This window comes from Homo sapiens, chromosome 14 (genome assembly GCF_000001405.40).
Source record: "Homo sapiens chromosome 14, GRCh38.p14 Primary Assembly".
NCBI classification, from domain to species: Eukaryota; Metazoa; Chordata; class Mammalia; order Primates; family Hominidae; genus Homo; species Homo sapiens.
The window spans coordinates 24,672,012-24,683,140 of record NC_000014.9 but is presented as its reverse complement, the minus strand read 5'-3'; the positions used below and the strand labels follow the sequence as shown (position 1 = coordinate 24,683,140).

The window sequence follows — 11,129 nt, the reverse complement described above, 5'->3', positions numbered from 1 at the left end:
TGAAAGACAGCATAGTCCATAGTGTCAGACACTGCTGAGGAAAAGAAAAAGATACAGAAATGATACTAAATTTAGCAAGGAGGAGGATATTGATGACTTTAACAAAGATGATTTCCATTAATTGGTGGGAAACATAGATTGGCAAGAATTGGATAGAATATAAGTTGAAAAAATGAAGACAAAAATACACATTTTTTTTTATAAATTTTCATTAAAGGGAAGCAGAGACATGAAGAATTACCTGAAGGGAATGAAGAAGTTTACAGACTCCTGTCTCATTTTGTTTTCCAAATGAGAGATAGCACAGGATGTGTACATGTGGATGGGGAAATCCAGTAGAAAGCCATCATTTCAAGGTAAGAGGATGCACTAATTGATGCTCAGATGAGCAATGAATATACCATATTTAACATTAGAATTTTTATATTGATAGTGTTAGATCATATCATTGCCAAAAACACAAAGAAAGATATTAAAATACTGTCATGCCAGTTATTCTCTCCCCTTCAGTTCTCCGAGGACTGTGGGAGGGGCACCCACAAAGAATAAAACAAATAAGAATTAAAATATCCTGTACTGATGGTGTACAAGTGCCCCAAAACTCCAGGTCAAAGTCCTAATAATGGTTGACTAAGACCCTACAGCTCAACCTTCTTGTCCAAGTCCTGAATCCAATTAATGGGATTTTATCCTCTCTAGGTAACTGCAGAAAGGGCAACTGAAGAGAGTGATCAGTCCTGAATTCACTTTCATACCCCCATGGGATGAAAGAGAGAGCAAGGGAGCAGGGGCTGTGTTTGTGTTTCTTATGCCACAATAAGAAACTGCTCATATACTCAATGTCTTGAGCTCCAATAATTCACATGATTCTTCATCCCCGGCAGAGGTGTTGGCAAAAGCTAGCAAAGTGTGAGTAAAGTTGGTCATGCAGTGGCAAGTTCTCCTTACCCTATGTTGGGAGTTGGTAGGTGATTGTGCTATTCTCCATGGACAACTCATTCATATTTAACTGGGAACCTCTGAACAAAATATCCTAATCCAAAGGCATGGCCTTCTATAGTGTAAATTCTAGACATCAAGGCACAGTACTCCTAAGTCCTCTATTTCTCTAGCAGTAAAGCTGGTTCATGCAAAGCTCAGTCTCCCCTGGGGGCCCTTGCATGTCCATCATACACAGGTTATTTACTATAAAACCTCTAGAAAAATCCCTTATGAGGTCTGTTCCTTCCTTCCTAGGATATTCAAATGGACATTCTCTTTCCAAACAGCCCATAACTATCAAATCACTTGATTTTTAGTGCAAAGAAAGAACAATTGCACCAGAATCCGGTGACCATGCTTTTTGGGTAGCTCACAGAGAATTTCATAATTCAGAATTAATTAGGCAGTGAGCAAGAACAAGAGGCATATTTTGGTGTATTAATTCATGCCAAGTTCAAACTCATTCCATCTCTGTTGCCCGGTGTGAATAATTATGCCATTAATCCCAGGCAGGAGGAGAGCTATTGTGACTACAACACATTTCTAAAGCAAATAAAGAAAAATGTCACTTCTCCCTTTCAACTAATGCTCTGAATACAGCTACATAATAATAATAGTCATTTATTTATAGGGCATAAATTCCCTAGGGCTCAATAAGCCACAGGATAAGCAAAATGCCAGTTAAAGAGAAAAAAAACAGAACTTTTCCAGTTATTAATAATTCTGAAACAAAGCACTTGTTGGGGAGAATGACCAAGAGGAGAAACTGAAAATTTAAGGAGAGCTTGGAAAAGGGCTCAAAGAAAGAGACAGTTGTGTGGCTTTTTCATTTTCTTCTCCCCTCCTGTTACATACTGCTCCCACTGTGACTCAGAGGGCCAGCTGTCTGGGGAAGAAAAATTTGACACATTTTTTAGGTTGGTGCAAAAGTAATGGCAAAAACCACAATAACTTTTGCACCAACCTAATAATCAGCCCTGAATGTCACCCTGATGCTACACACCCTTTGCTGTGAAAGCAAAATAGGTCGACCTGCCCCCTTCCCCATTTCTGAATTCCTTTCCAACTCACAGATGGCTTATTGAGCATAGAAGTATTGGAGGATCAGTGTGGTTTCCCATCCAGCCTCTCTTATGAGGGTCAGAAATGCATGGGGAGTAGCAGTCAAGAGGGTGCCCTATGTGCGTCATTTCCAGCTTCACAATGTTGAAGAGGAGATTGGGGATAGACAGAGGAGTGGCACTATGCAGAAGCAGTTCTACATTTTTCTACATTTCCTCTGAGACAGAAGGAATAGGGTCGAGGCCCACCAGGCAGGAGCCCTGAGTGCCAGAGGTCACAGAAGCAGTGGGGATCAGTCCACACTGCCCTGACACTGGCCCTTCTGCAGAGAGGTGGTGGCTGCTCTGGGTTCACACGTAGCCCTGCCCATTCCGCCAGTCAGAGCTGGCAAGAGATCCTTTAGCCACAAAGGCAGAGTGGCTGAGTTAGGAGATGGGGCAGGCCCTTCTCCTCAGTGGCTCCCACACCTAGCAGTGTCCAGAACACAATTCAGTGTTGCATGAACGAAATGAAGTGCTCTCAGTCTGCCTCTCATTCTTTCTTTATTTCACTTGGGGAAGTCACTTGACTCATTGAGTTTCAGTTTTCCTAGGTATAAAATGCTAACGATATTATATTATGAAGATGAACTATTGGAATTGCTATTTTTGTGGCCCAGAATTTTTAGAATGTCAACAATTTCACAAGGTTCAAACTAATAATTTATTTATTCCTTCATCCATCAATGAATGGCCACTATATGCTTAAAGCTGAGGATTCAGCAAGGAACAAAACAAATGATCTGGCCATGAATCTGACATCTTAGTTACATCTTAGTCAGGGGAGGGCAGAGTATGAACACACAGAGACAGGGAATCTTCTCTCAGGGGTAAATGCTGAAAGAAAAATACATCAGGATATGGGACCAGAGAGTGTGGAGGTGGCTACCCGTGACAGGGTGGCTAAGAGAGTCTTTTCTGAGGGGTTGGCATTCGAGTAGAGACCTGAAGAAAGCAAAGGAGAAAATAAAGATCTGGGAATAGAGCATTTCAGAAAGGACATTCCTGCAGGTGGAAAGGAGTGAGGGGTGGGAAGAGTGGAGGAGGGCAAGGTCAGAGAGTAGGCCATGGGAAAGACTTTGCAGTTTAATTCTAAATGAGACAGGAAGTCATTGGAGGGTTCTGAACACAGATGTGATACATTTTTCTAAGATCGCTGTGGTTGTTTAAGTGAAGCAAGTGAGGGCAAGGGGAGGGGAGAACGACGCAGACCACTTAGAATGTTACTGCTGTCATCAAAAGAAAGATAATGAGGACTTGGACTAAGATGGTAGCGGTGTCCGTGCCAAGAAGTGGTTATATTTGGAATATATTTTGAAAGTGGAGCTAACAGGAATGACCAGTGAACTGGCTGCAAGGTGCGGGAAAGAGAAAGGTCAAGAATGACTCCTAGGCTTTGGGCCTATGGTAATAAGTGGCTGGCGGTGCCAAGGGGGAATGGGGTGGAGCAGGGTCGGGAGAGGAGGAATCTAGAGTTCTGCTTTGCACACAATTGCATTTGTTTTGTCTGTCGGTACATGTGGAGAGTTGAGCGGGCCATCTGGAGCTTCATGGAAATGTCAGGGCTAGAGATAGCTCCTTCCAGCTATTTCGGGGCTAAACTTAGATCAAACACATGCACACTCTTGGGGATCTGTAAAGGACAGGACTGTATGAACACAAGGAATAAGTGACTAGATGCTTTCCCTGGGTTGCTATGTCAAATATGCTTATTAATATTTTAGAAACCAAACCTTTCTTCCCATATTCTAATTGATCGTCTATTCAACAAGTTTTACAATATAAATTTTAAGAATGTGCATTTTTCTAGGAACTCGGTAAAATTACGATTATTTGAAAATAAAATAATGTCTTTTACTAATAGTTTTACTTTCCCTGAATTGCTCCCTCACGTGGCGGGTAAAAGAATCTGCTCTGGACTCCCCAGTCTAGACAGTAAAAGAACTCAGTCTGGACACTAGAGGGCGCAATGCAGACAGTCAGAGCAGCCGCAGGAACTGAAAGGCGGCAATTCAGGAGTTCGCAGATCACTCCCTCTCCTGCTGTGTAAATCAGGGGTCCCGGCATTATGAGTCAAGGAGGGCAGCCCCCAGGCCACCAACGTGTGACCATTTTGATCAGGGGGATAATAGGGCCAGGCAGGGTTTTTCCAAAGGGAGCCCCTGGCAAATTTAAGGCACATCAGAGGAGAAAAAAGAAGTTAAGGAGAGAGGACACGTCAAGGAGAAAGAGAAAGAAAAATAAAGTAAGCAAAAATGAGGGAAACCAAGAAGTGCCTATTATAGAAGAATGGGAGAATTCCAGAAAGTCAGGGACAGAAAGGGCCTCAGAGACTTTTTATTTTTTTCTTTAAACTGGGTCTCGCTGTGACACCCGGGCTGGAGTGCAGTGGCGTGATCACAGCTCACCCCGACCACCCTGGGAGGATCAAGCGATCCTCCCGCCTCAGCCCCCCGAGTAGCTGGGATTACAGGTGCACAACATCACGCCTAATTTTTGTATTTTTTGTAGAGAAGGAGTTTCACCATATTTCCCAGGCTGGTCTGGAGCTCCTGGGCTCAAGAAATAAACCTGCCTTGGCCTCCCAAAGTGCTGGGATTACAGGTGTGAGCCACCACGTCCTGCCCAAAGACCATTTTTATTGAACTTTCTGTTTCCCAGATAAAAGGCTGAGGTGCTTCCTGGAGTTAAGTTTGGAGGCCTCCCAGGGTTGCTGTGCTCTCAGTCAGTGGTCTTCATTTCCCTACCATGTCATCTTCACAAAGTGTATGAACCTTACCAGGTGTCTCCTAGATGTCACATCATTCTCAACAAGCCTTAATGTGAGCACCCACTTACTTCACATATTTATTTTGCTGAGTCCCAAATGAACTGTCAAGTACGAATGTGGAATGCTGCTATGGCATAAGTATGATGATACAACTTGTACTGACATGCTAGATACAATAAATCTGCATTTAAGATGTAATTACAATAACTGGTTTTGTGGCTACAACTTTAAAAGGGCTGTGGGGATGACATTCAATTTCCCAGCATTCTTAAAACATTAAAAAAGTTTTGCATGCCTGCAGCATGCAAAATTATAGATGAAGAATCAAAGTTTTGGTATCACAGATATGGGTTTAAATCCTGGCTTTCAGTGGTTGCTAGCCCATGATTTGGAGCAATATTTCTAAGACCTCTTGCCTTCTCATCTATAAAATGAAAATAATAATAGTACTATGTCAGAGGATTGTTGTGAGGGTTAAATAAGATTGTTGGTAAAACTTCTAGTTCATTGTATCCTCTCAATAAGCAATTTGTAATGTTCACGTCAGAGAAAAACTGATATCCTTAAACAATAAAAGATTCTGAAAACAAATAGGGAAATGGACACAGGATATGAATAAATGATTCACAAAAGGAGATAAATACATGTGAATTAAAGTTTACAAGTAGTCAAAGGATGCAAAGTAAAGCAACAAGTGGAAACATATTTCTCCTCCTCCTTGGTTTCTTATTTCAGTTAAAAGCAGGCTCACTCAATCAGTTGTCTAAGCCAAACACCTGAAAATTAAAATCAACTACTTCCTCAAACACGGGACAATTTGAGCATCAAAATAAATAATAGCATTATAACCTATTGAATAAAGTAAGAATTCCAAAGTCCACACTGATATAAATAAATGAATGTATAAACAGTAAGTAGGAGAGAAGGGAAGGCTTTTCTTTACAGAAGAAAGTCAGATAATAATAAATGTAGAAAGAATGACAAAATCAGAAAATAATTTGTCAGTCATCCTAATAATAATTCTTTTAGGCAAGACGATTGCAACTAGTAGGAGAACATTTAAGGAGTATCTCCCCACAAGATACTTAATTGATTACAAAAGGTAAATTGGTAAATGTACTAACTTACTGGAGAAACCAAGCAGGTTTAATTTTAACCAGTTGATGGAATGTGACACTTCCAATAATGAAACTCGTTGACAGCAGAGCCTCCTGATGTGATGCAAAAACTCAGCATTGCTTCTGTGAGATCCCTGCCAAAAGTCCATAATCTGCATGTGATCATGTGGAACATCAGACAAACCCAAACTGAGGACCATCTACAAAACAACTGCCTGTCCTCTTAAAAACTGTCAAAGCCATGAAATACATAGAAAGACTCAGAAACTGCTCCAGATTAAAGGAAACTAAAGAAAGAAAGACAACAAAGTGCTATGCATGATCTCGAATTTTCTATTGCTATAAGGGACATTATTAGAAAAATTGGAAAAATATGAAAAAATTCTGTAGATTAAATAATAGCACATAGCATTATTAACTTTGGATTTTAATAGTGGTCAAGGTTTAAAAGAGAATTTCTTGCTTTTGGAAAAACACACTGAAGAATTTAGTTGTAGAAAGGCAATATACCTGCAAATTACTTTTAAATGGAAGAGAGAGAGAAAAGAAAGAAAAAAAGAAAGAGAACGATTTCTAATCCTTTGGGTATATACCCAGTAATGAGATTGCTGGGTCAAATGGCATTCCTGGTTCTAGATCCTTGAGGAATCATCACACTGTCTTCCACAGTGGTTGAACTAATTTACACTCCTGCCAACAGTGTAAAAGCGTTCCTATTTCTCCATATCCTCTGCAGCATATCCTGACTTTTTAATGATTGTCATTCTAACTGGCGTGAGATGGTATCTCATTGTGGTTTTGATTTGCATTTCTCTAATGACCAGTGATGATGAGCTTTTTTTCATATGTTTGTTGGCCACATAAATGCTGGATAAAGAAAATGTGGCACATATACACCATAGAATACTATGCAGCCATAAAAAAGAATGAGTTCATTTCCTTTGCAGGGACATGGATGAAGCTGGAAACCATCATTCTCAGCAATCTAACACAGGAACAGAAAACTAAACACTGCATGTTCCCACTCATAAATGGGAGTTGAACAATGAGAACACATGGACACAGGGAGGAGAACATCATACACCAGGGCCTGCTGGGGGGTGGGGGGCTAGGGGAGGGATAGCATTAGGAGAAATACCTAAAGTCGATGACGAGTTGATGGGTGCGGCAAACCACAATGGCACGTGTATACCTATGTAACAAACCTGCACGTTCTGCACATGTATCCCCAAACTTAAAGTATAATAATAAGAAGAAGAAAGAGAGAGAAAGAGTGAGAAATGTAGAAAATGTTGACATTTTGAATCTTGGTGAGGGGTGTCCAGAAATTATTTGTCTTATTCTTGCAACTTTTCTGTAATCCTGAAATTATGTCAAAATACAATGTTTTTTTAACTGGCTTCATTCTTTTCCTTACCCCACAAATGCATCAATCACCAAGTCCCTGTGGTTCCATTTCCTAAATACCTCAACAAACATAGTCACTTCTATTTTTCTCTACCGCCACTACCCTAATACAAACCACCCCTCTTGCATGAACTACAAAAACAAATAATAAAAAAATAGCAAATATCTAAATGGTATAATCTTAGAAACTTTTACCTTTCTAGCCTTCCTTCTAAATGGGCTTGTATTTGAGGTCCCAACCTATCAATAAGATAAGAAAAGGGAATAAATGTAAGGATTGGGAAATAAAATAAAGTAGTAATGTTTATAGATGATATGCCTGTCTATCTTCTCTACATAGATGACCCAAGAGAATCTACAAACTAGTACAACTAATTATACTCAATGAGCTCAATATACAAAAACCAATTCCTATACAACAACCAATGAAAATATGTATTTTTAAAGGTAACAGTAATAAAAGTACAGGATGTCTAGAAACAAATCCAACAGAGATGTAAGATATGTACAGATTAAAATAATAAAAGCTTATAAGGAACATAAAAGAAGACTTAATAAATTGAAAAGATATAAAATATTGATGGATGGTGTAGCAGAGCTACAAGTTATCTATACGAAACCTTGGCATCACCTTTTTTGTGAACAAAATTCAAAATTTAGGGAGAGAGGAGTATAAAATATATTTTTGCTAAATTTTCTTTCAGATAGGCATAATATTTTACAAAGTTCTGACCAATAAAAGGTAAACAAAAGTCTGAGATCATTTCTATTTTATTGTTATTTTATTTTTTCTTTTGCTTTTTGGGTGAGGCATCAACCCTCTTTCTTCTTCCTTGTTCCTGATACAAATCTGACTTGATGCCTGGAGTAGCTGCAACCATCTTGTGGCAAGGAAGCAATAAGCATAAGGGGGAATATCAACATATACATACAGAAGTCCAAGACACTGATGAGAAACATTACACAGTCACTTCAGCAGCCCTGGACTGCTCATCTCCAGACTGGTTGTCATATAAGAAACAGAAACCGTTACTGTTTGCACTGCTATGTCAGGTTTCTCTCACTTGAATCAAAAATATTGCTGAATGTTACAGATGGGAACACACAAAGTTTTAAAAATGGTAATTCTCCCCAGATTAATTAATAAATTCAAGTAGACAAGTGTAATCTGGATATGGCTGAAAAACCTTGTTGCTCTTTGCAGAGTTGTGTGAAATAGCAAACAGGAAGCTGCTACATCCGGTTCTGGGCACTCTTAGGCTTTTGCTGGGACCAACCCAGACACCTAGAGATTTTGTGCTTTACTTACAGCATGTACCTGCTTCTTCCATGGGGCCACTCCATAAGCTCCTTTTGCACAAGGACAGCCCATCCTCAGCAATGACCTCAGCCCCCGACCACCCCTCTTTCCATTCCCCCACCCACAGTCATATTTTATTTTGACATGGAGCAGGATGTCGAGGGAGTTTTCTTAGAACTGATTCTATTTCAGGGGCAAACATTCACTCTCAGTGAGCTTAGGGTGGGGAGCAGGAGAAATGGGGGCGGAGAGGAAAATTAGTTTTCCTCACCCACCTCAAAATGAGAAAAGAGGCTGAGTTTGCTAAGAAATAACCTAGGGGTTCTGGTCGCCCCTGAGGGGCTTCTGATAAATGATTCAGAGGATACCCTTTCCCTCACCCACTCCTGTAATCACACACCCCACATGGACATGAGCAATCCTTTCCAGCACACACCGCCCTCTACAACTTCTTAGGTGGGCACTTCCCTTGTAGCTCTGGTCCATGAGTGACCTGAATTTTTCTGCCTTTTGTCTCCATTCCTAATGTAGAATTTTGGGATTCCAGGTACACTACTCACATCCTCACCTTTTCCCTCCTTCCACATAATTCCTGAAAGTCCCTCAAAGGAGATGCATCGCAAGTTCTCACACGCAAGTCCTTGGCCAGTCCCCGGAACTAGGTTTTCCTTTCTTCGACATTGACTCATCCTTCTTCCTGCTGAGACTGATACAGCCCGCAAAGCTACATCAAAGCACTTCAGCACTATCTGTGGTGACACCACTGAGCCATCATCTTCTCTAATGTTCTTTGAAAGGGCACCGGCCATCAAGACCCAAAAAGATGCTGCGTTTTCTTTGAAGTTCTTTAAAGCATCCAAACCTCAATGTGTCACATCCCTAAATGGTGGCTACACCTCTTTTGACATTTCAACACCAAAGCAACTCTATTTGTGCCTTGGTGTCTCTCAGAAATTTTTAGTGCAAAGAATGCTTTCATTTTGCATGGCCTCTCTTTCATGAGCTGTGCTGGGACAGAAAGCTGTGCTGTCTCATTCTGCTCTCTCTCCTCCCATTATTCCTTCTTTTTGACCCAAGGCTGATGCCCCCACTTTGAAATTTTCAACAAAAGGGAGTATTTTAGTCCCTCTCTTAGTTTCTAGAGAAATAAGCGACTGCTGGCTGGGCCCCAGGTGTATAAGCTCTTTTGGCTTCCAGGTTCAAGCACACGGAATTTGAATCTCACTTCCTCACACACTGAGCTGCTTCCCCTTTCCACTTCTCCTGTGAAACCCTAAGTCCTCTCAATCACATTTCAGGGCCTGATGTGGCTTTTTGAGAGGCTTTCTCCAGCATCTGCATCTCAATCCCCATTCAATGATGAGAAGAGCACTCACCAAGCCCCATCACTGTAACATACCACACAGTTTGGGTATAAGCAACAAATGCTCAGTCATGGATGACAGCAAAGTTGTAGGAATAAGGATTTTTTCAGCAGATGAATAAAATAATGAAAAATACCAATAATCTAAATGACCCCAAATAAGTAACTGGTTGAATAAATAGTGCTGTATCCACACAATGAAAAATTCAGCAATAGTTGAAATTAGTAGTGTGGAAGTAATCTCAAAGAGCCCAAGATGGCCCATATTAGAATCGCTCAGAAGCCTGTAAAAAATACAGATTTCTGGATGTGGATCCCAATGACGGAGTCAGAAGCACTGGGAGTAGACTTGGAATCTTTATTTTAATAGGTAACTCCAGTGATAATGCAAATCAAAGTTTAAAAATTTACAACCATGGCAGCATAGTTAATTATGAGGTAAAATGATCATGATATATTGTTAGATGAAAATAGTATGTTATGAAAAAAGAATGTATAATATAATCTCATTTTTAAAAAGTAGTGTGACTAGAGAGATGATATATAGGTATATAGGTAAAGACTGAAAAAATAATGCCAAAATACTAACCATGGTTAGTGGTGTGTTTATAGAAGATTTTTATTTTACTCTTTTTACTTTTTTACGTGTTGAGTCCAATTTGTAAATTTCCAAAATAAACATTTAGTTTATGTGTGTTTAAAGAAAACAATAAAAGTTGTTTTGTTTTGCTTTTTAAAAAAGGATAAGAGGTAAATGACATGGGACTTTTAAATTTACTTATACTCTAGATTTTAAAAAATAAAAAAGGCAGCTTGCAAAAATTTTGTACCACATAATAAATAAAAATTTTAAATGAAGAGTTAAAAATAAAGGGGAAGTAAGGGTGCTAATATAAATGAAGCCAGGATTAAGGTTGGTATCCAAGAATGCATTGCCTCAAACTTCAGTTATGTTTCTAAAATGAGCTATAAATTTGCCTCTTCCTAATGTCACAAGACTAGACATGAGCAGATAGGGAGAGGGAGGTTCAATATCATTAGACATTAGGGAAACAGGAATCAGAACCACAATGAGATACCATTTCATACC

The 11,129-nt window shown here is 39.8% G+C and overlaps 5 annotated features.

The window, feature by feature from the left end:
• Nucleotides 3,945–4,124: a silencer, noted in NCBI's record as "silent region_5644". NCBI's record gives its function as "represses an Ori minimal core promoter by ATAC-STARR-seq in GM12878 lymphoblastoid cells {active_cell/tissue: GM12878}" and the evidence as "EXISTENCE:reporter gene assay evidence [ECO:0000049][PMID:35858748]".
• Nucleotides 8,301–8,350: an enhancer, noted in NCBI's record as "active region_8221". NCBI's record gives its function as "activates an Ori minimal core promoter by ATAC-STARR-seq in GM12878 lymphoblastoid cells {active_cell/tissue: GM12878}" and the evidence as "EXISTENCE:reporter gene assay evidence [ECO:0000049][PMID:35858748]".
• Nucleotides 8,612–9,811: an enhancer, noted in NCBI's record as "P300/CBP strongly-dependent group 1 enhancer chr14:25142536-25143735 (GRCh37/hg19 assembly coordinates)". NCBI's record gives its function as "activates an origin of replication core promoter dependent on BRD2, BRD4, P300/CBP, MED14 and CDK7 cofactors, with strong dependence on P300/CBP, by STARR-seq in HCT116 cells {active_cell/tissue: HCT116}" and the evidence as "EXISTENCE:reporter gene assay evidence [ECO:0000049][PMID:35650434]".
• Nucleotides 9,671–9,720: an enhancer, noted in NCBI's record as "active region_8220". NCBI's record gives its function as "activates an Ori minimal core promoter by ATAC-STARR-seq in GM12878 lymphoblastoid cells {active_cell/tissue: GM12878}" and the evidence as "EXISTENCE:reporter gene assay evidence [ECO:0000049][PMID:35858748]".
• Nucleotides 10,051–10,100: an enhancer, noted in NCBI's record as "active region_8219". NCBI's record gives its function as "activates an Ori minimal core promoter by ATAC-STARR-seq in GM12878 lymphoblastoid cells {active_cell/tissue: GM12878}" and the evidence as "EXISTENCE:reporter gene assay evidence [ECO:0000049][PMID:35858748]".